The following is a 27,825-nucleotide window of genomic DNA, read 5'->3' as shown; positions in this document are numbered from 1 at the left end:
ACCAGGGGTCAGGGTTGGGTTTCCAAGGACGCCTCTGGGTGTGGTGCGGGCAGGGAGACCAGCTGTGCAGCAAGACACCAGGTGGCCTGGGTTAGGAGGTGGGTCAAAGAGGGAGGGGTGAAGGTTACCAATCATAGATTTAGGAGGCAATTTTCTTGGAAGGAAAGGGTGGGGTGCATGCTGGCTTGCTGGCGCCACTATCAGCCACTGTCCCAAGGTTTTCTTGTGCGTAAACTCATGGAGCGTTCACCACCACCCACTAGGTATCCTCATTGCACAGCTGGGGAAACTGAGGCTGAGAGAGACACACTCGCTGGCCCCAGATCTCACACAGCAGGTTATAGGAGCCAGCATTCAAACTCCTGGAGTCTGACTCCAGAGCTTGGACATTTTCACGCCCCTGACTCCTTAAAGCTGGAGAAGCTGAGGCTCCCAGTTGGGGTGAAGTTCCAGGTTCAAGACCACACAGCCGGGAACTAGAAAGGAAGGATTGAACCCACACCTTACCATGGGACACGGCCCTGCCCATCCCCTCTCCTCCCAGCAGCGTGAGGGCTCGACCTCCGGGGAGTCCCCGTTCTGGGTTGGGCGCCACTCCTCCCTCCCTATCCGCTTCGCGCCCGGAGCTCTCTCCGGACTTTAACCCTGGGCCGCCACTGGTGGCGACGCTGCCGATAAGGGGAGGTGGTTGGTGCAGAGGCCAGCAGGGCAAAATTCCCCTACTCCCGGTGCCAGGGGAGTTACCCAGGTCAGGGGCGGGGGCGGGGGAGGGCAGGGGCAGAGGAGCGGGCGGAGGGGGAGGTGGAGGCATCTGCAGCTGGACAGAGAAGTGGTGCTTTGTTTCTCTGTGCCTCAGTTTCCCTCTTGGTAAAATAGGCATGGTTCCTCCTATGGATGTAAGAAGGACCTAGGAACCTTTGCAAGGGCAGAGGAGTCCGCCCCTCTGGTCTGACTGGGAGACAAGGTGTTCCCCAATCTGATGGTGGGGACAAGGTGGCCCAACACAGTGGGAAAAATAAGGAAACTAAGGAGCTCTCACCAAATCCCATGAGGGAGACAGGACTGTCCAAATCCAATGAAGAAGATAAGAAGCTCCAGTCCTGTGCAGCAAGAACGAGTGTCCAGTCTATATTTCCAGTCTGCCAGGGGAGGTAAGGAGCAACATTCTGATGTGTAAGACAATGTATTTATTTTTGTGAGTCAGAGTCTCGCTCTGTCGCCCAGGCTGGAGTGCAGTGGTGTGATCTTGGCTCACTGCAACCTGTGCCTCCTGGGTTCAAGCGATTCTCCTGCCTCAGCCTCCTGAGTAGCTGGGATTACAGACGCACACCACCACGCCTGGCTAATTTGTTATTTTTAGTAGAGACCGGGTTTCACCGTGTTGGCCAGGTTTGTCTTGAATTTCTGACCTCAGGTGATCCTCCTGCCTCGGCCTCCCAAAGTGCTTGGATTACAGGCGGGAGCCACTGCACCTGGCCAGGAGTGATACTTTGATGTGTGAGACAATGCAGTTCTAATTTGATGGGGGAGATGGGTAGTCCTAGTCTGATGGGGGTGTTGAAGGGCTCCCATGCCTTCTGGGAGAGCTGATGAGCTTCCAAATGAATGATAGAAATGGGGAGCCCCTCAAACTGGTGGGGAGACAAAGAGCCTGCTAGTCTGATGAGGGAGGTAAGAATCTTCCTGTCTGAAGTGGGAGCCAGGGTGCTCCCGTCTGAGATTCCAAGGTGAGGAAAGAGACGAAGAACATACTCACTGCAGCTCAGCCAGCTCCTTCCTGAGCCTGGGAGTCAAATGGCCCCAGGATGCCTGGCCAGGGAGCCAGGACCAAAAGACAGAGACGATTTGCTCTCCTGACCCAGGGGCAGTTCTGCCCAGCTCTGGGCCTGATCTACTTTTGGCAAAAAAAGACCTGGCTGGTGGTGTACGGGCACCACCTAGCGGTTGCCATGGGCACGCCTTCCATCCGGAGCTTGGGGAGAGCAGCTCCTTGGAAGACCAGAGAAGGGCTCCTTGGACTCTCTCCCTGGGACCTGGGTCCAAGTACCAAACTACCCCTGAAACTGGATTCTGTGCATCATTCCATTCACCCTGCATGTGGCAGCTGGGGGAGTCTCTTGGAAGTACAAGCCTACCTCTGTCTGTCCCTTGCTCACAACTCTGCAGTGGCTCCCTGGTGCCCTGGGAGGAAGTCCACACCCGGCCACAAGGCTGGCTTCTTCTGAACAACCCTATGCTTCAGTTGAACAATAAGTAGTTTCTCAAAGGTGTCATATGCAAAACTTACCTTCAGGCCTTCGCACAGGCTGTTCCCTCTGCCAGGAACACCCTTCCCTGCCTCTTCCCCAGCATCTCTCCTACTCCTCCTTCAGGTCTTGGAGTAGATGTCTCCGCCCTCGTGAGCCCCCTGGTCAGGGTCATGGTCTGGTGGGGCTGTCGTGGTCACTGCTGTGTTCCCCTGGGGCCTGACACTGACAATGCACTCCAGGGAATGTTTATGGAATGAATGAGTGAATGAATGAATGAATGAATGAATGCCAAGCTAAAGAGTTTGCCAGGGCAGCTGTAGGAGAGTTTAATCAGGGCCAGGACACGATCGGATTTAGAAGCCCCTAGGCTCCCCCCAGCTTTTTTTTTTTTTGAGAGAGAGGGATGGAATCTGACTTCGTCGCCAGTGCAGTGGCGTGATCTTGGCTCACTGCAATCTCTACCTCCCAAGTTCAGGCAATTCTCGTGCCTCAGCCTGCCAGGTAGCTAGGATTATGGGTGCACGCCACCACGCCTGGCTAATTTTTGTATTTTAATAGAGACAGGGTTTCACCATGTTGGCCAGGCTGGTCTTGAACTCCTGACCTCAGATGATCCGCCCGCCTCGGCCTCCCAGAGTGCTGGGAATACAGGCATGAGCCACTGCGCCTTGCTGGAGCCCCTAGGTTTCCTCTCAACCCTAGGCTTTTGCACATACTCTTCCCTCTCCCTGCACTATTTACACCTAGTAACTCCCACTCATCCTCTAGGTATCAGATGAGCTGTCCCTTCCTCCAGGAAGCCCTCCTTGACCCCAGGCTGGGTCAGGCATGCGCTCTGAGCTCCTGCAGCCTCCTGGGCTCCTCCATCCCAGGCTGTGAACACTGCTGGGCTATTATTACCTGGGGACAAGTCTGCCTTCCCACTGGATCTGGGAGGGCAGGCTGGGTTCTGTTCACCCTCTCTGCCTTCTCCTCTGAGCTAACAACATCTGCTAGGACCTGGGTTCAAATCCAGATGCCCCTATCTTTGGAGCTCCTTAGGTGAGTGTGGGCCTCTCTTGGAGCCCCTGTTTTCTCGTGTGAAATGTGGGGAGAATGAGAAGCGTGCATGGAAAACCTCCCAGGGCTGTGGTGGGTGCAGTGAAGAGACGAGATCCTGAAGTCCCGAGCTGACCATGAGCCGGGTGACTACGGGTGACCCACTTCCCCTTTTGGGGTTCATCTGGCTGGATGAACGGTAGCAGCAGCCCCTTCCTGCCGGGACATTCTGGGAGGCCCGCTCGGGGCTTCCCGAGGTGGGAGGGTCAGGGACAGGCTGAGGGAAGAGGTGTCTGTTGGGTTAGGGGAAAACCAGTCTTCCCCATCATGAAACGGATGATGGGGGGGAAACAAACAAAGCTGGCTCCACCACGGCGTGAGGGGAAGTTGGGGGAGAGGATGAGGGGGCCCCATGAGGTGGGTGAAAACCACAGTCCACAACTTGTCGCCAACTTCCCGCCTGGAGCCTGTGTGCCTCGGGTGAGGCTCCCTCCTCATTGGCCTCAAACAAGACCTATCTTCATTCCAATCTCCAACCCAGCCCTGCCTGCAGCCTTCTGGCCTCAGAAATGGCAGCTTCATCCTTGCAGTGGCTCAGGCTCAAAGCTTGGAGACCCCTGACTCTTCTTGTCCCTCGCTTTACAATTCTGCCCCCAACAGTCTCTTTCCACCTCATGGCCAGAGGGATCCTGTTAGAACCTGAATCAGGGCCGGGCATGATGGCTCACACCTGCAATCCTAGCACTTTGGGAGGCTGAGGCAGGTGGATCACCTGAGGTCAGGAGTTCAAGACCAGCCTGGCCAACATGGCAAAACCCCGTCTCTACTAAAAATACAAAAATTAGCTTGGCGTGGTAGTGCATGCCTGTAATCCCAGCTACTCAGGAGGCTGAGGTAGGAGAATCACTTGAACCCCGGAGGCAGAGGTTACAGTGAGCTGAGTGGGCACCATTGCACTTCAGCCTGGGAGACAAGAGTGAAACTCTGTCTCAAAAAACAAAACAAAACAAAACAACAACAAAATTAGCTGGGTGAGTTGGCACATGCCTATAATCCCAGCTACTGGGAAGGCTGAGGCAGGAGAATCACTTGAACCCAGGAGGCGGGGGTTGTAGTGAGCCGAGATTGCGCCACTGCACTGCAGCCTGGGCGACAGAGCAAGTCTCCATCTAAAAAAAAAAAAGAAACTGAATCAGAACCCATCCAGCCTCTGTGGCTCCTACTTCACTTGGGGTGATGGCCAAAATCCTCGCCATGGCCCTCAAAAGCTGAATCCCTGCTCCTTTTTTTTTTTCTTTCTTTTTTTTTTTTTTTGAGAGGGAACCTCTCTCTGTTGCTCAGGCTGGAGCGCAATGGCGCCATCTCAGCTCACCACAACCTCTGCCTCCTGGGTTCAAGTGATTCTCCTGCCTCAGGCTCCTGAGTAGCTGGGATTACAGGCTTGCACCACAATGCCTGGCTAATTTTTGTATTTTTACAAAAATAGAGTTGAAGTTTCACCATGTTGGCCAGGCTGGTTTCGAATTCCTGACCTCAAGTGATCCGCCCACATCGGCCTCCCGAAGTGCTAAGATTACAGGCGTGAGCCATCACAACTGGCCATTTTTTGTCTTTTTGATGACAGCCATCCTAACTCAGGTGAAATAATACCTCATTGTTGTTTTGATTTGCATTTCCCCAATGAGTATGATGTTGAGTATTTTTTCATATACTTGTTGGCCATTGTATGTCTTCTTTTGAGAAATGTCTGTTAAGATAATTTGCCTGTTTAAAAAATTATATTGTTGGCCAGCCATGGTGGCTTACACCTATAATCCTGGCACTTTAGGAAGCAGAGGTAGGAGGGTTGCTTGAAGCCAGGAGTTCGAGACCAGCCTGAGCAATACAGCGAGACCCTGTCTGCACAAAAAGTTAAAAACAGCCAGGTGTGGTGGTGCACAGTGGTGGTCCCAGCTACTCACTTGGGAGGCTGATGTGGGAGGATTGCTTGAACCCAGGAATTGGAGGCTGCAGTGAGCTATAGTTGCGCCACTGCACTCAGCCTGGATGACAGAGCAAGATGTCATCAAAAAGACAAAAAATGGCCAGTCGTGATGGCTCACACCTATAATCCCAGCACTTCGGGAGGCCGATGCGGGTCGATCACTTGAGGTCAGGAATTTGAAACCAGCCTGGCCAACACGGTGAAACCCCGACTCTACTAAAAATACAAAAATTAGCTGGGCGTGGTGGTACAAGCCTGTAGTTCCAACTACTCAGGAGGCTGAGGCAGGAGAATCACTTGAACCTGGGAGGCAGAGGTTGGAGTGAGCTGAGATCATGCCACTGCACTCTAGCCTGGGTGACAGATTGAGATTACATCTCCAAAAAAAAAAAGTCAGATTTTTTTTTTTGTGTTGAAATGTTTGATATATTGTATATTCTAGATAGAGTTCAAGACCAGCCTGGCCAACATGGTGAAACCCCATCTCTACACAAATACAAACATTAGTTGGGCCTGGTGGCAGGTACTGTAATCCCAGCTACTCGGGATGCTGAGGCTGGAGAATCACTTGGACATGGGAGGTGGAGGTTGCAGTGAGCCAAGATTGCACTACTGCACTCTAGTAGCCTGGACGAGAGGGCAAGACTCCATCTCAGGGAAAAAAAAAAAAAAAAAAAAAAATATATATATATATATATATATATATATACACATATATATATATGTATGTATATATATGTATGTTTGTGTGTATATATATATGTATGTGTATATATATGTGTGTGTGTGTGTGTGTGTATATATATATATATATATATATATATATATATATATATATATATATAAAATTAGCAGGTCATGGTGGTGAGCACTTGTAGTCCCAGCTACTTAGGAGAGTGAGGCAGGAGGATTGCTTGAGCCCAGGAGTTCGAGGCCACAGTGAGCTGTGATTGTGCGGTTGCACTCCAGCCTGGGCAACAGAGCAAGACTGTCTCAAAAAAGAAAACAAAAAAGAAATATAAAATGTAAAGTTGGGTTAGTTGTGTAAGTGATAAATGCTGTGAAGAATAAAGCCAGACAACTTTGGGTGTACAGGGGACCCCTCTGAGGAGGTGACATCTGAGCAGAGACCTGACTGGAGTGATGCAGGTGTCTGAGGGAAGGAAATTCCTGGCAGCGGGAACAGCCAGTGCAAAGGCCCCGAGGAAGGAGTTGCTTGATTTGTTCAAACAATAGCCAGGAGGCCAGGTGGCTGCAGTGAGTGAAGGAGAGGAGATGATGAAGGGAATGACGGGCGGGCAGGCCTGCAGACCATTGTAAGGACCCTGGAGTCCGATCCGAAGGGGAGATGCTCCAGGAAATGTGGCTTTACCTCTGGGCGCCTCAGTATCCTCTTCTGAGAAACATGCAACATGACACCTGCGTCTGAAGGTCTCTGTGAGGACTCAGGGAGCTCCTGCCTCCACAGGCAGGAGGCAGCCGCACAGGTGAGGCCCTTTGGCTGCACTGGTCCTGTGCAACCTTGCAGATTTGGGGTGCCCTCTCTGGACTCTGCATTCTCCACACTGTGTGTCAGGATGGGCTGAAGCTGATGGGGCTCATTCCTTGGTTCCCAAAGTCTGGCCTTGGCACCCCCTCCTCCATGCTCCTCTTCTGTCTCCTTCCTCTTTCTTCTCCTCTTCCTCCCCATCCCTCCTCCTCCTCCACCTCCTCCACCTCCTTCTTCTCCCTTTTTGCCCTGTTCCCCTTTTCTCCCTCCTCCACCCTCCTCCTACTCCCTTCTCTTTCCTCCTTTTTTTTTTTTCTCTCTCTCCCACCTCCCCCTTCCCTCCTCCCTGCTCTCCATCCTGAATCAACATTCCAGTCCATGGAAAAAAACAGGGCAGGCTTCCTTCCTCTCCCTGGCAGGGCTCCAGAGAGGGACTGGGCCATTGTGTATTCTGGCCTCAAGGTCACCCCGACTCCCTGCCCTCCCCAGTGTGGTTATTTGAGAAAAGGCAGCTTGGGTGAGGGGGAAGGGATTGGGGCTGAGAGGGGTATAGTCTGCCTCCCCACCCACGGCTGGTGGAACCTGAGGGCCCCCGGCGCCACCAGAGCTTCGTGGCTTAATGGGGGAGGCGAGGAGCCACTGCGGACCTGCTCGGGACAGTGAAGGGCGCCAGTCTCAGCCCTCATCTGAAACCTGCTCCGTGACCCTGGACTAGTTCCTGCTCCTCTCTGGACCAAATCCTGGCCCTGCTCCTTTCTGGCTGAGTAACTTTGGGCAAGTCACCTCCTCTTCTTTGTGGTGTCTCACTTTCCTTTTTTTTTTTTTTTTGTCAAACAGTCTCTGCATCTGAGTCCCCCAATTTCCCAGCTAACAAAAATTCCCTAGACCCTTTGTTAAAAATTCTGCTTTCCGGGCGTGGTGGCAGGCGCCTATAATCTCAGCTACTCGGGAGGCTGAGGCACAAGAATAGCTTGAACCCGGGAGGCAGAAGTTGAAGTGAGCTGAGATCATGCCACTGCACTCCAGCCTGGATGACAGAGCAAGACTCTGTCTCAAAAAAAAAAAAAAAAGAAAAAAAAAAGAAAGAAAATTCTTTCAAGTCCCCACCCTGGAGAGACAGGTTTTCTGGGCCCAGGCAGAAGCCTGGGATATATAACTTATTTTATTTTATTTTAATTTTTGAGACAGGGTCTTGTTCTGTCTCATAGGCTGGAGTGCAATGGCACCATCACAGCTCACTACAGCCTCAAAATCCTAGGCGCAAGCAATGCTCCCATCTCAGCCTCCCAGGTAGCTGGGATGACAGACAAGTACTGCCATGCCCAAATAATTCTGTTTTTTTTTTTTGTTTTTTGTTTTTTTTTGTAGAGATAGGGTCTTGCAATGTTGCCCAGGCTGTTCTTGAACTCCTGGCCTCAAGTAATCCTCCTGCCTCAGCTTCCCAAAGTGATGGGATAACAGGCGTTAGCCAGTGCTCTTCGCAGGGATGTTTACGTTAATAAACAGGAGATTTGGGAAATGTATTAATAGTTCCATTTCAAAGGGAAGCTTTGAGGAGCAAGTCAGAGAACCTGTGCTGAGAGCACCTACCCTGGAACCTGCGATGATGAGCATCGTGTTTCTAAAAGCTCATACACATTTATTATTATTGCTTTTATTACTTTTTTTTTTTTTTGAGACAGAGTCTCACTCTGTCTCCAGGCTGGAGTGCAGTGGCACGATCTAGGCTCACTGCAAACTCCGCCTCCTGGGTTCGAGCGAATTCTTCTGCCTCAGCCTCCCAAGTAGCTGGGACTACAGGTATGTGCCACCACGGCCAACTAATTTTTGTATTTTTTAGTAGAGACAGGGTTTCACCATGTTGGCCAGGATTGTTTTAATCTCTTGATCTTGTGATCTGCCTATTACTTTTTTTTTTTTTTGAGATGGAGTCCACTTTGTTGCCCAGGCCGGAGTGCAGTGGTGCAATCTCCGCTCACAGAAACCTCTGCCTCCTGGGTTCAAGTGATTCTCATGCCTCAGCCTCCCAAGTAGCTGGGATTACAGGCGCACATGATGACATCTGGCAATTATTTGTATTTTTAGTAGAGACGGGGTTTCACCATGTTGGCTAGGCTGGTCTCGAACTCCTGACCTTAGGTGATCTGCCTGCCTCAGCCTCCCAAAGTGCTGGGATTACAGGCATGAGGCACCGCGCCCGGCCTATTATTACTTTTTGTCAGCAAATCTCAGTGATTACAATGTAAAGAACATCATATATTACATAAAGCGAAGCAAACCTGCTTAGTAGGATTAAGTTCGCCAGGACAAATGTTATCTTTGAAGCAGGGTGTGGTGGCTCACACCTGTAATCCCAGCACTTTAGGAGGCTGAAGTGAAAGGATTGCTTGAGCCCAGGAGTTTGAGACCAGCCTGGACAACAGAACAAGACCCTGACTCCACAAAAAATGCAACAATTGGCCGGCGTGGTGGCTCATGCCTGTAGTCCCAGCTGCTTGGGAGACTGCAGTGAGCCATGATTGCATCACTGTATTCCAGTCTGGATAATGCTGAGACCCGGTCTGGAAAAAAAAAAAAAAAAAAAAAAAAATGGCCGGGCGCGGTGGCTCATGCCTGTAATCCCAGCACTTTGGGAGGCTGAGGCGGGCGGATCACCTGAGGTCAGGATCACCTGAGACCAACCTGACCAAAATGGAGAAACCCCGTCTCTACTAAAAATGCTAAAAAAAAAAAAAAATTAACCGGGTGTGGTGGCTCATGTCTGTAATCCCAGCTACTGGGGAGGCTGAGGCAGGAGAATCGCTTGAACCCAGGAAGCAGAGGTTGTGGTGAGCCGAGATCATGCATTGCACTCCAGCCTGGGCAACAGGAGCAAAACTCCGTCTCAAAAAAAAAAAAAAAAGAAAAAGAAAAATGTTATCTTTGCTTTTTCTATCTGCCTGTTGTTAAAATCTAACACCTTAGTCTGGGTCATAGGCATTTATTGAGCATCCATGTTTCAGGCTCATTACTTGTATTAACTAATGTGATCTTTTCAACAATCCTAGGAGGCAGGGGCAGTATTATCATCTCCATTTTACGAGGAGGAAAAGCAAGCAATGTACCCAAGTTCCCACAGCTAAAAAGAATTCTGTCTGTCCTCAGAGCTGTGCCCTGAAACCCTCTGCCCTGCTGAAGAATGGAGAGGACTCCCCCACCAGCACCTCCACCTAGGACACATGGGAACTGTGGGACTTGGAGCAAAGTTTTCAAGTCTCTGTGCCTTAGTTTCCTCACCTGTAAGTTGGGGGAATGATAGTAACTGCTCTTAAGAGCTGCTGTAGGAATTGAGATCTTGCATGAAAAAGGATAAAACCAATTGATATGGTTTAGTTCTTAGTCCCCACCCAAATCTCATGTCCAGTTATGATCCTCAGTGTAGGAGGAGGGACCTCGTGGGAGGTGATTGGATCGTGGGGGCAGTTTCTAATGTTTTAGCACCATCCTCCTAGTGCTGCTTGTTTAAAAGTGTGTAGCACCCCACCTTCCTCTCCTGCCGGCCATGTGAAGACGTGCTTGCTTCCCTTTCACCATCTGCCATGATTGTAAGTTTCCTGAGGTCTCCCCAGAAGCAGAAGCCTGTATAGCCCACAGAATCATGAGCTGATTAAACCTCTTTTCTTTATAAATTACCCAGTCTCAGGTATGTCTTTATAGCAATGTGAGAATGGACTAATACACTGATGCTCGAGATATAGGAGTGATTATTATTTTGTGGTTATTGTTATTATTCTTTCCTACACTCTTAATGAAGGGGATTGCACTACTTGAGATAATTCAGTAAAAGAGCACAGAGATGCCCAGAGGGACGGAGGACCTGGTCTTGGGGACATTTGAGCCTCCACCACACCCTGAGGCTATGGGATTTTGCTTGACCTAGAAACCTGAGCTGCTTCTCCTTCCCTCCTTCTGCCCCTCCTGCTGGCCTCATTCTGCATCAACTGCACACAATCACAGCTCAGAGCAGCAGCTCCCATCTTTCTCAAACCCCTGCTATGGGGGCTGTGACTCTTACTCCTTGGGCTCAGGTGAGGAAGGCCATTTTGCCTAGCTGAGGAGGTAGAAGTTCCAAAGCTTGGAGTGGCCAAGCCTGCCAGCTGCCCACCCGGGACCCATTCTCTCTGCCTTTCTTAATACAAGAACCTTGATGTTAATTGGGGCAGCAGCATACCCAAGGCAATGACTGCAATTCCCTGCCTCCCTTGCAGCTAGGGTGGCCATGGTACTATGAGCTGGCCAATCAGATCTAAGCAGGGGTTGTTGGATGGGCCTTAGGTAAAGTTCCCTTAAAAGGGGCACAGTCCATAAACTGGCTAGGGGGAGTTTTTTTTTGTTTGTTTCCCTTTGTTCCCTTCTTTCTGCTTCTTGCCTGGAACATGGATGAGGCAGCTGTGACTCCAGCAGCCATCTTGGGCCATGAGGTGATGGAGAGGATGGAAACCCCAAGGTAAGGATAATGGAACAGAAGAATAGAAGGAGCTGTGTCCCTGATGACACTACAGGGCCTCCATTCTAGCTCTGAACAATCTGCTTCTGGAGATTTTTTACGTTTGAGAAATGAGAAAAATAATCTTCTAGCCATATAAGCTACTCCCTGTGTATCTATTCTGCCTAATTGTTTATGCTAGTTCCAATATTTCTTACTAGCCACTGAAGATAATTTCTTTTGTTTTGTTTTTTGAGACTGAGTTTCACTCTTGTTACCCAGGCTGGAGTGCAATGGTATGATCTCAGCTTACTGCAACCCCTGCCCCATGGGTTCAAGCAATTCTCCTGCCTCAGCCTCCCAAGTAGCAGGGATTACAGGTGCCCTTTTATCTTATATATTAATCTCCTTGGCTTTTTATTATTTGTGTTCCTTATTTATACTTCTGTTTTTTTTTTCTTGATCACACCATGCCCGGCTAATTTTTGTGTATTTTTAGTAGAGATGGGGCTTCACCATATTGGCCAGGCTGGTCTCGAACTCCTGACCTCAGATGATCAGCCCACCTCGGCCTCCCAAAGTGCTGGGATTACAGGTGTGAGCCACAGTGCCCAGCCTAGCCACTGAAGAGAATTTCTTTCTTTCTTTTTTTTTTTTTTTTTTTCGAGACAGAGTCTCGCTGTGTCACCCAGGCTGGAGTGCAGTGGCGTGATCTCGGCTCACTGCAAGCTCTGCCTCCCAGGTTCACGCCATTCTCCTGCCTCAGCCTCCCGAGTAGCTGGGACTACAGGCACCTGCCACCACGCCCAGCTAATTTTTTTTTCTTTTTTTGAGACAGGGTCTTGCTGTGTCGCCCAGGCTGGAGTGCAGTGGCATGATCTCGGCTCACTGCAAACTCCGCCTCCCAGGTTTGCACCATACTCCTGCCTCAGCCTCCCCAGTAGCTGGGACTACAGGTGCCTGCCACTGCACCTGGCTAATTTTTTCTATTTTTAGTAGAGACGGGGTTTCACCATGTTAGCCAGGATGGTCTTGAACTTCTGACCTCGTGATCCACCCGCCTCGGCCTCCCAAAGTGCTGGGATTACAGGCATAAGCAACCTCGCCCGGCCAAGAATTTCTAACTGTTATATCTAGACTCTAGCCACATCTATGTCAAGTTTTTATGTGAACTTGGGTGGATGGGGGTGGGGTGAAGGTGGTAATATGGATGCTATTTCTTCTTTCTGGGCTGGATAGTGTTGGGGTTAGTAGTATGGGCTCAAGTCCATCCTCACGTCCCAGCTAGAAGCCCCACAATGGAGACCACTAATTTAGATAATAGCTTTCAAACTCCATAGAGCTCCCTCAGTGTCCCCTCCGGTGAGGTGGAGTCAGTGGGTGGAACTTTAGGCTCTCTCCTTCCTCATGGGCTTGAATTGGTCACATGGCTGCTTGCAGCTGCAAGGCAGTTTGGGAAAGTGAGTACCTGACATTTTCAGCTTCTAGAGAGGGAGGCAGTGCGTGTGTCATGGAAGCAGGGAGGGCAGTGGGCTGGGGAGCAACCAACAGATCCCTCTTCAGTCAATGTATATTTATTGAGCAACCTTTGCTTCAACCAGACCAGTTTCTCTTTTCTCTCTCTCTCTCTTTTTTTAGAGACAAGGTCTTGCTCTGTCGCCCAGGATGGAGTGCAGTAGGGTGATTATAGCTCACTGCAACCTTGGCCTCCTGGGCTCAAGCAATCCTCCTGCCTTAGCCTCCCATGTAGCTGAGACTACAGGCATGCACCACTATTCCTGGATAATTTTTGAAAAACTTTTGTAGAGATGAGGTCTTGCTACATTGCTCAGGCTGGTCTGGGACTCCTGGGCTCAAGTGATCCTCCTGGCTCAGCCTCCCAGAGTGCTGGGATTACAGGTGTGAGCGCAGCGCCCACCCCAGGGCCTTTTATTTTATATATTAATCTCCTTGGCTCTTTATTATTTGTGTTTCTTATTTATACTTCTCTGTTTTTTTTTTTTTTCTTGATCATACCTGCAGAAAGTCTGTCTATTTCATTGCATTTTCAAAGAATCAGCTTTAGGTTTTATTGGCCATGTTTTGTTTTACATTTCATCTATTTCTGCTTTTACCTTTCTTCATTCCTTAGCTTTTTTCTTTGGTTCGTTTTGTGGACTTTTTCTAGTTTCTTGAGTAGAAAGCTTGTTTTATTCATTTTCAAGTCTTTTTCCTTTAGTACTCTCAATGCTTATAAGCTATCATTTTTCTCTTCAAGGATGGCTGTGGCCATGTCCCACAGGTTTGATGTATATGATGCTTTTACTGTCATTTGATTCTGGTTGATATCTTGTATTTTAGTTGCTTCTGTAGTCCAAGTGTTACTTTTTTTTTTTTTTTTTTTTGACGGAGTCTTCTTGCTCTGTTGCCCAGGCTGGAGTGCAGTGGTGCGATCTTGGCTCATTACAACCTCTGCCTCCCAGATTCAAGCAATTCTCCTGCCTCAGCCTCTTGAGTAGCTGGGATTACAGGAGCATGCCACCACGGCTGGATAATTTTTGTATTTTTAGTAGAGACGGGGTTTCACCATGTTGGTCAGGCTGGTCTTGTACTCCTGACCTTGTGATCTACCTGCCTCAGCCTCCCAAAGTGCTGGAATTACAGGGGTGAGCCACCGCGCCCGGCCCCAAGTGTTACCTTTTATTTGTAAAATTTAACATTTTTTATGAGACGTAGTCTCACTCTGTTGCTCAGGCTGGAGTGCAGTGGTGCAATCATGGCTCACTGCAGCCTCAAATTCCTGGGCTCAAGTGATCTATAGGCATGCGCCACCATGTCTGGCTAATCCCAGTGGTATTTAAATTTAAGTAATTTTTTTTCCAATTCTATAGAAATTTTGGGGGAGACGAGTATAGCTATTGAATTGGTATCTATAGTTGGTTTTATTTATTTATTTATTTTCAAAAATAGAGACGGGATTTTGCCATGTTGCCCAGGCTGGTCTCAAATTTCTGGGCTCAAGCGTTTCTCTCACCTTAGCCTCCTAAAGCGTTAGGATTACAGGCATGGGCACTGTGCTGGGGCTATATTTGTTGCATTGCTATTTTAAATATTAATAATAAATTGACCTGCCATGTAAACTTGTATTTGAAGAAAGGGCTCTGAGGCTTTTAAAAATGGTTTGGAAAAGTCTGGTCCACCTCAAGTCCACACCTTTTTACTGATGGGCAAACTGAGGCTCTAGTGAATCCGTGGCAAATGCAGGATTTTGATCCAGGTTTTATAACCCTCATTCTGGAGGTCTTTCACCACCCATCACCCCAACTCAACACAATCATCCCCAAAAGGGCCTTTCTCGTCTCTGCCCAAACCTGTCTTTCTATTCTAAGCCTCGACTCGGCCATCACCACTCCTGACCAATGCCAAGAACCTGTTTCCAGTGGGGCATTGCGGCTGGGTGGGGCCTGTGGCTCCCACTAATGAGACGAGTTAGAAAACACACTCATTCTGGCCCCCACTTCCCAGCTCTCCACTCCTGGCCTCTACCTCTGCCCCGCTTGCATTCATCCATCCACAGGGCCTTTCCTGTGGCTGCAGAAGGAAGGAGATATTGTCAGGGTTGGGCAGATAATGTTGGAGAGACATGCGGGGAATCCCAGGACAAAGTTGTGTCTTTGATTAAATGGGTGAGGACTACCAGAAGGTGATGGAAGACTTCTTGCAAAATATGGTCATTTCCTGAGCACAAGCAGCCCTGTTTCGGGGTCCAGGTGACAAAATGAGGTGCAGTGTAGGGGAGAGCCATGTCCCACAGAATGCTGGTGCTCCAAGAGGGGCAGTCCTTGGCCAGCTGGGGAGCAGGACTCTCACATATAACCTGGAGCACTGCGGGAGGGGCACAAGGCCCTGGCATCCAGCAGTGGGGTGTGGAGCACGGTGATCTGGGCCCATCCTCCTGCACGTGCACACCCAGACTGAGAAAAGTCTTGGGGGGGAAAGGAAATGAGTGCGGCCACCAGGAAATGGCGGGGCTAGCGGTGGTGGAAGGAGAGGCTGACACACGTGTGCATTAACCAGGACGTTTATGGCCTCGGTGGCTCCCCAACAGCTCAGCGAGGGAGTGGGGCCCTGTGGCTCTAGCTCTAGGGTGGAGGCAGGAGAACAGCAGGACCACAGCCTGGCATCCTCGCTGTGGGGGAGTGGTTCCCACTCAGAGGGCGAGGACCAGAGGATGGTGCGAAGAGCTCTTCTCTCTGGACGTCTCCAGGGTCACGCTGTTACCCCAGGGCTGTGGGGCATATGGGGCGAGGGGGCGAAGGAGGATGTCAGAGAGATGGAGGACCAGGTCCCCAGTGCCCCCACCCCTTCTGCTCCCCTGCCCACCCCGGGCCACCCAGTGGCCCAATCCACCCCACGCTCAGCCTGTGCCAGGTTCAGGTTCAGGAAGGTAGCGTTGGTCCTTGTGCGAGGGAGGGAGGTTGACTGTGAGAAGAGAGAATGGGTGAAAAGGAATCCCAAGGCTTTGCCGGGGTGGCCTGCTGCCACTGAACAGCATTCTCCCCTAACACTGACCCAGAAAACCAGGGTTTGATCAGTGACTGGATGAAAGTGGGTGACTGGCAGTGGTTGAGTCCTTGATCCTGGAAATTTCCAGTGATAGGGGAGGCACCATCCCGGACTCAGGGACATGGCTTCTGAGAATGCTCTGTCTGCTGGGGGAGGCAAGATTCCAGACTTGGGGAATGATCTCATCCCCAGTGTCTGAGAGCTAATGGGGGAAACCTGGCCCTGCTGTAGGGACATGGACTCAGACCTCTGGGGATGCTCAGTCAGATGGAGGATACATGGACCCTGACTCTGGGAGCTCCCAGTCTGATGGAGGAGACATAGACCCTGACTCTGGGATCTCCCAGTCTGATGGAGGAGACATGGTCCCTGACTCTGGGAGCTCCCAGTCTGATGGAGGAGACATGCTCCCTGACTCTGGGAGCTCCCAGTCTGATGGAGGAGACATGGTCCCTGACTCTGGGAGCTCCCAGTCTGATGGAGGAGACATGGTCCCTGACTCTGGGAGCTCCCAGTCTGATGGAGGAGACATGGTCCCTGACTCTGGGAGCTCCCAGTCTGATGGAGGAGACATAGACCCTGACTCTGGGAGCTCCCAGTCTGATGGAGGAGACATGGACCATGCCTCTGGGAGCTCCCGGTCTGATGGAGGAGACATAGACCCTGACTCTGGGAGCTCCCGGTCTGATGGAGGAGACATGGTCCCTGACTCTGGGAGCTCCCAGTCTGATGAAGGAGACATGGTCCCTGACTCTGGGAGCTCCCAGTCTGATGAAGGAGACATGGTCCCTGACTCTGGGAGCTCCCGGTCTGATGGAGGAGACATAGACCCTGACTCTGGGAGCTCCCAGTCTGATGGAGGAGACATGGTCCCTGACTCTGGGAGCTCCCAGTCTGATGGAGGAAACATGGTCCCTGACTCTGGGAGCTCCCAGTCTGATGGAGGAGACATGGACCCTCACTCCTGGAGTTCCCAGTCTGACGAGGGAGACATAGTCCCTGACTCCGGGAGCTCCCAGTCTGATGGAGGAGACATGGACCATGCCTCTGGGAGCTCCCAGTCTGATGAAGGAGACGTGGTCTCTGCCTCTGGGAGCTCCCAGTCTGACGGAGGAAACATGGTCTATAACTCTGGGAGCTCTCAGTCTGATGGAGGAGACCTGGATCTTGACTCTGGGAGCTCCTAGTCTGATGGAGGAGGCATAGTTTCTGACTCTAGAAGCTCCCAGTTGATGGGGAGACACGGTTCCCAACATCTGAGAGCTCCCAGTCTGAGGGAGGTGACATGGTCTCCAACACTTGGGAATTCCCAATCCAATGGGGGAGACATTGTTCCTGACTTCTAAGAGCTCCCAGTCTGATGGGGAGACATGGTCCCCAACATCTGGGAACTTCCATTCTGTGAGGAGACACAACTTCCACACCTACAGGCCTCCATCCTAATGGAGCAATCATCCTTATTTCAGTTTGAAAGAGAAACTCCACCATCTGATGATAGAAACTTTGCCCTCACAATAATAGAAAGGAGGAGACATGATCCCCACTGCACAGGATCTCCCAGTCTGAATAGGGAGGCCTGATTCATCCTTATTCTCTGCCTGCAGTCTGATAGGAGAGGTAAACTCCTATAATTAACCCATTACCCCAATATGGACCCTATGTTTTAGGGTCCACCTGTCTGCAGGAAAAAGGATGCTCCACCATCAGACTATGCCTTCTCTTTTAAAACCTTCAGTGTGCTGTACCTCTTATTTGAGAGAGAAGGCATGGGGGTCCCCTTTAGCAACCCTCAGTCTGATGGAGGAGGCCTGTCTACCCACAGTGTAGGTCATTAGTTTGATAGAAGAGGCAGAACCCTATTTGGGGACCCCCAAGTTAGGCGGAGGAGACAAGGCTGCTTCCTTCAGCCTGATGGGGGATGGGTATCCATCTTTGGTCTATGTCCCCCCAGCCTGATGGAGGAAGCAAAGGCTCCTTTTGGGAGCCCTTGTCTAAAAAGGGGCACGCCTTGCCCCTTCCCACACACTCACGGGCCACCTGCAGCTCCACTTCCAGTGTCTCAGTCTTGCCCTGCACTGTGACAGTCTTGAGTGTGTAGCGGCCAGTGTCTGTGAGGTTCAGCTTCTGCACCAACAGCGAGCAGTTGGGGAAGCCCACCTCCCGGCCTGTGTGCGCGGGGCCTGCAATCCAGGTTCCTGACGGCAGCTGGCTGAGCAGCCGGTTGGGCTCGGAGGCAGGCCCGCGGTACCAGGCGTAGACCAGCAGGTCCTTGGGGTAGCCCTGCACGGTCAGTGTTACGTCCTGGCCCTCCGTTGGCTTGGTGGGCACGGGCACGATCATCGTGGCAACTGCTGCAGCTGGGGAGAGAGCGAGCGGGCTGGGTCAGTTTGGTCTGCATCTGGCATGGTGTCCCCTTCCCAACCCTTGCTGGCCTCCCCCCAGCTGGCTGGCACTCCCCATGTAGGGTGCTGGGAAGGAGACTGAGGAAGGAGGTGACTTGTGCGGTGGTGGAGGTGGATTCTGGGTCCCAGTAGTGTCTGCTGGGGTCTGTGTTTCCCCTATCAGACTACAAATTCCCAGACTTTGAGAGGTGTCTCTCCCATCAAACTGGAAGACCCTAGAGGCTTGGGTCATGTCTCCTCCATCAGATTGGAAATTCCCAAAATATAGGGGCCATGTCTCCCCTATCAGAGTGGAAATCCCAGAAAATGGGGACCATGTCTTCCCCATGAGATGGTTGGGACTTGTGTCTGTCAGACCGAGAGACCCCAGAATGTGTAAGCCATAGCTCCTCCATCAGATTGAAAGATTCTTGAGGGTGAGAGCATGTCTCCTCCATCAGATTGAAAATTCCTACAAGGCGGCAGCCCTGTTTCCTCCATCAGATTGAGAAATTCTAAATTGTTGCTGAGTTTTTCCAATCAAGTTGGGGACCCTGGAAGTTAGAGGGAAATGTCTATTCCATCAGACTGGAAATTCCTAGAAAGTGGGGTCCTGTACTCCTCCATCAGATTAGGAGTACCCCAAAGGTGGATACCCCATCAGACTAGGAATGCTCAAAAAACAGGGCCATGTCTCCTGGAGACCAAGTCTCCCCATCAGAAGGAAATTTCTCCCCAAGTGCAGACTGTGTCTCCTCCATCTGACTAGGAGCTCACTGAGGGTGGGTTGTCATATCTCCCTCATTACTGACATGAAGGATGAGGCATTGCCTCTTCTCTTTGAGCAGCTATTCCTTGAATAAAGGAGCCATGTTTCCCTGTCCCAGGATCATCTCTCCAAGGACAGAGGCCTTGTCTCCTCCATCAGATTAGTCTCCCAAGGTGGAGGGAGGGTGGCGTCTCCTTTTCTTCTGTGTCTCTCCCAGCACCTGCCACAGAGTTGCTGACAGTGCTAGAAGCCCTTGGGGGCACTGTATCCACTCCCTGCACATACCTGCATACCTTGGACACCCCCCTTCTTGGACTGCACAGACAGGGCTTGGGGTGGCGCCTGAGGTCATCTGGTCCATCCCCCTGTCTCCTGTCAAGACCAGCTGCCAAAGCCCCAGATGAGTGGAGCGGGAGTCACACTTACCTCTGGGGATGCCATTTCTGCTTTGGGTGAAAATCCACCCCTTGGATGAGACCCAGCCTGTTAGTGGGAGGGAGGGAACGACCATTCCCCACTGTCCCCCGGGGGCTGATGGCCACTTGGGAAGGAACCGAGGTAGAATTAATGAGGCCTTAATGTTCAAAGCCACCATCTCCGGAAGATGAGAAAATGTCGCCTGAGGATCCCAATGGCTCTGAAATGCCAGCTGCCTGCACTGCCCCAGCCCTCAGGTCATTTTAGGACAGAAGCAAGATGACAATGCCTCCCCAGCTGTTTCTCCATTTGCCAGCAATTGGCTGTGATTCTTCAGTTGTGTGTGTGTGTGTGTGTGTGTGTGTGTGTGTGTGTGTGTGTATACCCATCATCTGGGTCAGATAACTGGGTAGTCTAGTTGGCTGCACAGAATTTCAGCTGTCTGTGTGGTGGGGTGGGGGCGGGTAGAGGGTCAAGGCCCTAAACAGCTGGTGACTGAATTTAGAGCAGTGGCACCCACCTGAAGTGATATCTGAGTGATTTTCCACTCTGTCAACCCACAATGGTTTGCCATTTGTTCTCTAGGTGAACAGGACACGGGCTGTCTCTCTTTAGACCCAGATGCAAACAGATCTGCCTGATATGCCACTTTGTCACAGCTCATGAATGAACTGTGAATCTACCATGTTCCAATTCTCTGTTGGGCAAATGGTGGCTTAACCTTCGCAGCCTGATGAGGCCTCCATGGGGACTGGGGGGTGGTCAGGCTGGGGGTGACTCACCAGAGAGCTTGACCACGACTGAGGCAGATCCAGATAGCAGGGTCTTGGTGTTCTTCGCAATACATGTGTACGTCCCCTCCTGGGCGGCTGTCATGCTGCTGATGTTGAGGTGGTCTTGGCCGTTCTTTAGGGCCTGCCCGTTGAAGGTCCACACATACTCGGGCTCTGGGCAGGACCTGGACACGCACCACAGGGTGAGGGACGTGTTGAAGTCAACTTTGATGGTGCAGCCTGTGCGGGTGGTGGAATCCTGGAGGATGGCCACACGCTCTGGGCCAACTGTGGGGGCAGGAGGGAGATAGATGGGGCAGTAGAGGGAAGGAGGAGTGGAGGTTGGTACCCCTGGTTTTCTCTCCACCAAGCTAGGTCCCTGGGAATATCTTGGCCTAGTGGAGGGGAAAAAAAGCTCTGGCCTTAACTCTAACTTGTTCTAGGATCTTGAGAATCACTCCCTCTAAGAGGATCTCACCTTTCTCTCCTGTAAAAAGAATGTGTTGGGCAAGATAATATTTCAAGGTATTTTTGAAATCTATGGCTCCATTGACAAATAAAAAAAGCCTAAATGATTTTTTTTTTCTGACAAAGCCATTCTAAGAGTGTAGAATTCTAGGGCTTCAAGAATTGGTGCTTCTAGGTTCTAAGGTTCTAAGCTTCTAGAAATCTATGTTTCTAAGATTCTAGACTAAGATTTCAGGGTTAGATTCTAAGATTCTAAGAATCTCTGCGTCTAGAGGTTCTAAGATTCTCAGAGTCTGGAATTCAGTGCTTCTGAAGTCTGGAATTCTCTGGTTGTAAGATTCTAGGATTGTAGGCACTAAGTTTTTCTACATCATGGGTCCTCATGTACCTTGGTGATTTATTTTCCCAGGATTCCACACTGCACATCTGCTGCTCCTGGGAACGACTGCATGCTTTGGTTATGTTGTTAAATTTTGTGTCCCCTCCCATTACACTATTCCCTCCCCTGCTCCCTTTTCAAACCAACTGGCCCTGTTTCCTTTCTCTGTAGATATTGCTCCTAACTGAAGGATTATTCAATAGTAAAGGTGGTCTGTAGAAGTCCTTTAGGATATGGGGCAAGTGTATTTTTTTTGTTTGTTGTTGTTGTTTTTTTTTGTTTGTTTGTTTTTTGAGACAGCATCTTGCTCTGTCGCCCAGGCTGGAGTGCAGTGGTGCAATCATAGCTTACTGCACCTGCAACCTCGGCCTCCGGGGCTCAAGGAATCCTCCCATCTCAGCCTCCTGAGTGGCTGGGACTACAGGCATGTGCCACCATGCCTGGCTAATTTTTATGTTTTTTGGTAGAGATGAGGTCTTGCCATGTTGCCCAGGCTGGTCTCAAACTTCTGGGTTCAGGTGATCCTCCCGCCTAGGCCCCCCAGAGTGCTGGGATTACAGGCGTGAGCCACTGCACCTGGCGAGGGCAAGTGCACTTTAAGAGGGGTCCCTGGTCCCCAATCCCAGCTTGCCTGCTGACTCGCTGTGTGCCCTTAGGCCCCCTCTCCTGGCCTCAGTTTCCCCATCCATGAGGTTTGGACACTGGGTATCTCCAGTGGGGCCAGGAGGACTCACAGTACACGGTCAGGTTGATGGGCTCGCTGCGGCTGACACTGACCGGGTTCCACACCTCACACTGATAGGCGCCGGCCTCCTCCCGGCGGATGCCATGCCTGGCCAGCACCCGGCCGTCAGGGGACAGGCCCAGGCGGAGAGCGACGGGCAGGGCCCCACCGTTGAAGAACCAGCGGACCTCGGCGGTGGGGCTGGGGCTGCTGCACATAAGGCGCAGGGTGTCTCGACGTTCCACCAGCGCTGTGCTGTTGGCCAAGACTGTGGGCTGGGCCAGGATCTCTGTGGGGGCAAGAGACAGAGGGGGAGGGGGCCGGACACCACCTGCTCTGAGGGCCTTCCCTTCCCCCAACAAGGGGCATGGCCGGATTGTGGCTGGGCCCCCACACCCTCAGCCGGAGGGACAAAGAATGGTTTTAGGAGGCAGGTCTAATCCTGGAGGCCATCTTGAAGGAGGTGAGCATTTTGAGGTTATTTTAGAAACTTATTCCCTGATGGTTTCCCTGATGATTTGTTGGATTTTTTTTTTTTTTAAAAAAAAGAAGGATTGAGAAGGAGATGGGAAGGCCCAGCTGGGGCAGAGGCGGGTGTTGGGGGGTGTCTCACCATGGACCTGCACGTGTCCGTAGCCCACCTCGGTCTGCAACTGCCTGTTGAAGGTCTGCAGGATGTAGGTGCCTGAGTGCCGGGGCAGGATGCCCTGGATGTCCAGGCTGCCATCGGGGCGCACAGCCTCCCGCCCCGTGTGGGCCGGGCCAGGAGTCTCATCGCCTGTGCTCACGATGTAGCTGGCCACCAGGTATGACACGCTGAGTGTGGGCCCCGCATACCAGCTGTAGGCGAGCAGTTCCCCCGAAAGCCCATGGACGACCAGCGTGACGTTGTCCCCTTCGCTCGGCTGGGCAGGCTCCAGGGTGATAGAGATCTCGGCCCCCACATTCAGGAATGTGGCTGAGGAAGAGGAGTCAGAGGGGTTGGATGAGGCAGGTTTGATCAATCGCCCCATTTGACAGAAGAAGAGACTCAGGCTCGGGGCATGTCCCCAGCCCAGTGTCCTCTGTGTAAATGAGGACAGGCAAAACCAGGATTTGAACCTGCAACTCTGACTCTCAACATCTCAGCCACCTAATCTTTCTGGGAGTTTATCTGCATGGCTTCGAGTACACTGTCTTTCTCTGTGTTTCTGTTCTTCCAACTCTCACATGGGGATGACAGGTCTACCTGCCTGGTAAGGTTGTAAGGATTCTGTATACATACCATGCTTACAATGCCTGGTATACAGTAAGTGCCCAATACATGTTAGTCAGATGCAGGAGCTCAGTCCCAGGGAGGGACTCAGTCCGAGGGAGGGAGGCGTGTGTTGTGAGGATTGGGTCTGATGGACTGTGCCAAGGATCTAGCATCACATCTTGCATACAGCAAGTGCAAAGCAAGTGCTCGGCCCACAGGACCTGCGGCTTTAAGCCGGACCCAAAGGGTTTTCCCATCGTGACAGTCACCAAACTAAGTCTCGCGAGATCCGGCTGCGTATCCAGCCCAGCTAATTGTATGGCCCCACGTAGGATGTCAGGGCCTGCCCCCTGGGTCCTGACTCCCAGTCTGGGGCTCTGCCTCTGCCTCTCCAAGCTCGCCTACAGCGGAAAGCAGGGGTAAGATGAACACACTCCACCCCTTTCCTTCTCAACCAAGCAGATCAGCCCCAAGCCCGATGAGCTGGTCGGGGCTGCTTGGGTTTGAATGACGTGTGGTTTGAATGCCCGGAACGGGCGGCTGTGACAGTGCTCACGTCAAAAGGACTGACATGGCTGGCCAGCTTTCTGGTACTTTCCAGGCTGTTAGAGTGTGGCTAGGAGTGAGGGTCTCTGGGTCTAGCCCTCAGTCCTGCCACTCTCTGGCCGTGTGACAGCGGCCAATGGTTTCACCTTTCTGAGCCTCGTTTTCTCCCTATGAAGTGCGGTTCATGTGTGGGCCTCCCTCATAGGTGGTTTGGGGTTGTTTTTTTTTTTTGAGATGGAGTCTTGCTTTGTTGCCCAGGCTGGAGTGCAGTGGTGCAGTCTCGGCACACTGTGACCTCCACCTCCTGGATTCAAGTGATTCTCCTGCCTCAGCCTCCCGAGCAGCTGGGACTACAGGCATGTGCCACCACACCTAGCTAATTTTTTGTATTTTAGTAGAGATGGGGTTTTACTATGTTAACCAGGCTGGTCTTGAACTCCTGACCTCAGGTGATCCGCCCGCCTCGGCCTCCCAAAGTGCTGGGATTAGTGGTGTGAGCCACCTTGCCCGGCCCCTCATAGGTGGTTTTAAACCATGAGAAGCTCTCAGAACAGCTCCGGGCACACGGCATATGTGGTGCTGCTTATAATGACCTTTACATGACCCTGTCAGTGAGGCCCCATTCACAGGTGGGTACACAGAGGCTGAGAAGGGAAAGGCAACTGCCCTAAGCTACATCTTCCGGGAGAAACAGCTGCTGGGAAGAGTTTAGCCTCATCAAGGCTTCCATAGCTGATAAAACAGAAACCTGCAGGAATGAAGGAGCAACAGCGGCTCCCTTGTCCTGGCTTGTGCCCTGGGCTTAGAAATCTCCAAAGCCCACCCTGAAAACCTCTCTGGGTGGCTGTCCCCAGCCTGCCCAATGCAGATGCCTCTTGGAGGGGTAAACTGCCGGTGTGAAGCAGGGCTGCCCTCCCTCCCTAGCACGCTGGACTTCTGCTCACACCTTCCCTCTCTCAGACTGGGGGTCCCCTCCCCTCCCTGGGGTCCTCGGGGGGCTGAGGTGCTGGGGGGTGCCATTCTCGCTCACCACTGAGGAGCAGCCAGCTGTACCCAGTCAGCGCCATCTTTCACCCCAAACCGAGTCTTGGAGATGGTGGCGTTGAAGTCCCAGTGCTCGGACTCCCTTCCTGGTTGGGGCTCGGCTCCGTCTGCCGCAGGACCTGGGAGGGTTTGGTGATTTGGAGCCAGGGGAGATCACCTGAATTTGGAGGGATCGAGTCACCAAGGATCTGGGGCCCGGTTTGGGTACCAGGGTGGGTGTGGCGGGCACCGGCCAGAGGCCGTGACCTGGGCAGGCCTCCTGGGGCAGCCGCCTAACCCTCTTTGTGCCGAGGGCCTGGATTTGGTACTGGGAGAGGAACCAGGTCACCGAGGAGAAGAGAGGAAAAGTAGGGGAAGGTTTTCGGGTAGTTCTTACCAACCACCCAGGCCCGTGGCCTCCTCAGAGAGCCTGGGAGTCACCAAGGAAGAAAATCAGTAAAAGGTGACTGCACCTTTCCCAGCCCCACCCAGTGCAGGGGACCTACAGGTGTTGTCTCAGCGGATGGCAAAACAACCCTGTAAAGTGGGCACCTTTAGGACCCCCCTTTGCAGATGGAGATGAGCTAGGTGGGGACTCCCACTTGTCCGGGTTCCTGCAGGGAGAGGGGATTTGAGCCCTGCTCTGTGTGCAAACCCAGACAGAAGGGCAGGAAACTGTATGGCCACATGCTTTCTTTGGGGCTCTCCTTCTTGTTGGCTTCCTGCAAAGTGCTCAGAAGTTCACATTCTCTTTCTCCCACTTCGGAGGCCTTGTTTTCCCCTCTCTGTCAAATGGGCGTATTCGGAGGCTTTGGGGCCAAGGAGAGCTGAGTTTTGACACCAGCTCTGCACTTACCCAAAGTGGGGCTGGGGACAGTCCCTTGTTGAGTCTCCATTTATTATTCTGATAAATAGAGATGATGGCCGGGTGCACTGGCTCATGCCTGTCATCCCAGCACTTCGGGAGGCCAAGGCAGGCGGATCATTTGAGGTCAGGAGTTCGAGATCAGCCTGGCCAACATGGCGAAACCCCATCTCTACTAAAAATAATAATAATAAAAATAGCCAGGCGTGGTGGCAGGTGCCTGTAGTCCCAGCACTTTGGGAGGCTGAGATGGGCAGATCACCTGAGGTGAGGAGTTTGCAACCAGCCTGACCAACATGGCGAAACCCCGTCTCTATTAAAAATATAAGTTAGCTGGGTGTGGTGGCTAACGCCTGTAATCCCAACACTTTGGGAGGCCAAGGCAGGTGGCTCACGAGGTCAGGAGTTCGAGACCAGCCTGGCCAATATGGTGAAACCTCGTATGTACTAAAAATATAAAAAATTAGCTGGGTGTGGTGGTGTGCACCTGTAGTCCCAGCTACTCGAGAGGCTGAGGCAGGAGAATCTCTTGAACCCAGGAGGTGGAGGTTGCAGCGAGCTGAGATCACACCACTGCACTCCAGCCTGGGTGACAGAGTGAGACTCTATCTCAAAAAACAAAAGCAAAAACAAAAAATAAAAGTTAGCCGGTCATGGTGGCACATGCCTGTAATCCCAGCTACTAGGGAGGCTGAGGTAGGAGAATCGCTTGAATCCAGGAGGTAGAGGTTGCAGTGAGCCGAGATCCTGCCACTGCACTCCAGCCTGGGTGACAGAGCAAGACTCCATTTCAAAAACAAACAAAAAAATAGAGATGATATGGACCCTACTTCAGGTTTGTTGACAGCAGTTAGTGAGAGGCTACAAGTCAGGGATTTAAGCCAGAGCCTGGTGGACGTGGGTCTGATTGGTATGCCTGTTATTAAAAGTATAGGCTCTGGCCGGGCGTGGTGGCTCATGGCCGGACGCAGTGGCTCATGCCTGTAGTCCTAGCACTTTGGGAGGCCGAGGTGGGTGGATCAACTGAGGTCAGGAGTTCAAGACCAGCCTGGCCAGCATGGTGAAACCCTGTCTCTACTAAAAATACAAAAATTAGCTGGGTGTGGTCGCGGGCACCTGTAATCCCAGCTACTTGGGAGGCTGAAGCAGGAGAATTGCTTGAACCCTGGGCAAAAGAGTGAAACTCCATCTCAAAAAAAAAAAAGTATAGGCTCTGGACATAGTTCCACTGTTTCCTACCTCCAGGACCCTGGGCAATTTATGGACTCTGCCAAGCCTCAGTTTCCTTATTTGTAAAATAGGGAAAACAATAGTACTCACATCACAGGGCTGTTGAAAGGATTAAGTAGATACACATGTGAAGTACAGTACTTACCACGACTGGCGCAGAGTAAATGCTCAGTAAATCACTCATTCACTTATTGGACAAATACTGAATGAGCACCTATTGTTTGCCAGGTGCTGTTCTAGGCGCTGAGGATGCAGCCGTGCACAAGACGGATGAAATCCCTGCCCTCAGGGGGCCGACATTTGCGGAGTAAATAAAGGAAAGGTAAATATCTTCCACGTCAGATTGAAAAATAAAGTCAGAAAGGGGATTTGCCATTTTATTTTTTGTAGAGATGGGATCTCGCTATGTTGCTCTGCCTGGTCTCAAACTCTTGGCCTCAAGTGATCTTCCCACCTTGGCCTCCCAAAGTGCTGGGATTACAGCCATGAGCCACTGCCCCTGGCCTGGTTTGCTACTTTAAATTGGGGTGGAGGGAGGGTAACAGGGAAGGTGTCTCTGAGATGATGCTGGGCAGGAGCCGAGGGGGTTGTGGTGCCAGAGCTGCTGATAGCTGTGTTCTTATGACCTGCATCCTGATGGCTTCTGAGTCCTGGTTCCTCTGAGGCCTCTGCAGCCTGCTTCCGGGCAGGGGGCCACACCTGTGCTCACCTGTCCTGGTTTGCCTCCAGCACTGTGTCCTGGGCTGCCCTCGTGGGGCAGGGCTCTAACAAGGGGGAGAAGGCCCTGAGGAGGTGCGGGTGAGGCCAGGTGAGAGGCACAGAGGATGTCCTGGCGCCTCCTGCTCCCCTCTCCCCACCTGTGACCTCACCTCACTCTTCTGCGTCCTGGCCCAGAGCACTGGGACCTCATCCCAGTATCAATCAGGATGCCTCCCTGATGTCCCTGGGCACCTCTCACTCACCTTGTCCCAAACTGACCTTGGCATCTTCCCCCAGAAGTGTATCTTCCCCTGGTGCCCTTATCAGGGAAGGCGCCACTACCCACCTCATCGCTGGGAAAAGAGACCTGGGGCCTCATCCCTGATGCCTCCCCCTACTCCCCGAACACGCCACCCCTTCTGGCAACTGACTCTACGTATATCTTCTCTCCCTCCCTGAAGCCCCTGCCCTGGTCTAGGTGACCACTCCACCACCCCACCTTGCCTGGGTCCTCCTGTCTCCCCACCAGCCTCCTCCCTAGTCT

General features: G+C 51.8%; 1 protein-coding gene and 1 long non-coding RNA gene across 5 annotated transcripts, besides 3 other annotated features; one reads left to right on the top strand and one right to left on the bottom strand.

Annotated features, from left to right (window-relative positions):
- The first annotated feature begins 803 nt into the window (after nt 1-803).
- CEACAM16-AS1 (CEACAM16, CEACAM19 and PVR antisense RNA 1) lies at nt 804-26,950 on the top strand. Of its 3 annotated transcripts, none has more exons than NR_186814.1 (2): nt 804-1,151; nt 9,905-10,431. It is a non-coding gene; the product is annotated as a CEACAM16, CEACAM19 and PVR antisense RNA 1 (long non-coding RNA). The 3 variants fall into 3 exon arrangements; NR_186815.1 differs by lacking the exon at nt 9,905-10,431 and adding an exon at nt 26,811-26,950 and having other exon boundaries at nt 805-1,151; NR_186813.1 differs by lacking the exon at nt 804-1,151 and adding an exon at nt 7,338-7,534.
- Nucleotides 3,167-3,226: an enhancer, noted in NCBI's record as "active region_14768". NCBI's record gives its function as "activates an Ori minimal core promoter by ATAC-STARR-seq in GM12878 lymphoblastoid cells {active_cell/tissue: GM12878}" and the evidence as "EXISTENCE:reporter gene assay evidence [ECO:0000049][PMID:35858748]".
- Nucleotides 3,297-3,406: an enhancer, noted in NCBI's record as "active region_14767". NCBI's record gives its function as "activates an Ori minimal core promoter by ATAC-STARR-seq in GM12878 lymphoblastoid cells {active_cell/tissue: GM12878}" and the evidence as "EXISTENCE:reporter gene assay evidence [ECO:0000049][PMID:35858748]".
- Nucleotides 3,537-3,686: an enhancer, noted in NCBI's record as "active region_14766". NCBI's record gives its function as "activates an Ori minimal core promoter by ATAC-STARR-seq in GM12878 lymphoblastoid cells {active_cell/tissue: GM12878}" and the evidence as "EXISTENCE:reporter gene assay evidence [ECO:0000049][PMID:35858748]".
- Nucleotides 15,270-26,837, bottom strand: CEACAM16 (CEA cell adhesion molecule 16, tectorial membrane component). Of its 2 annotated transcripts, NM_001039213.4 has the most exons (7): nt 26,728-26,837; nt 24,495-24,627; nt 22,295-22,639; nt 21,692-21,970; nt 20,120-20,398; nt 17,801-18,127; nt 15,270-15,492 (listed from the first exon to the last, which is right to left on the bottom strand). In NM_001039213.4, the coding sequence occupies exons 2-7, from the start codon at nt 24,529-24,531 to the stop codon at nt 15,482-15,484; spliced, it is 1,278 nt and encodes a 425-aa protein (NP_001034302.2). In that variant the 5' UTR covers nt 24,532-24,627; nt 26,728-26,837; the 3' UTR covers nt 15,270-15,481. The 2 variants fall into 2 exon arrangements, with proteins under 2 accessions (NP_001034302.2, XP_016882284.1); XM_017026795.2 differs by lacking the exons at nt 15,270-15,492; nt 26,728-26,837 and having other exon boundaries at nt 17,646-18,127; nt 24,495-24,546.

The sequence above is a fragment of the Homo sapiens genome, chromosome 19 (assembly GCF_000001405.40).
Source record: "Homo sapiens chromosome 19, GRCh38.p14 Primary Assembly".
Lineage (NCBI taxonomy): Eukaryota > Metazoa > Chordata > Mammalia > Primates > Hominidae > Homo > Homo sapiens.
This window is presented reverse-complemented; position numbering and strand designations above follow the sequence as displayed.

Coding starts and splice junctions, on each gene's coding strand:
- CEACAM16 (XM_017026795.2), bottom strand. CDS start 24,531: ATGGCGCTGACTGGGTACAGCTGGCTGCTCCTCAGTG. Junction 21,971..22,294: donor CGGACACGTGCAGGTCCATG/GTGAGACACCCC, acceptor TTGCCCCCACAG/AGATCCTGGCCCAGCCCACA. Junction 18,128..20,119: donor AGTCGTGGTCAAGCTCTCTG/GTGAGTCACCCC, acceptor CTCTCTCCCCAG/CTGCAGCAGTTGCCACGATG.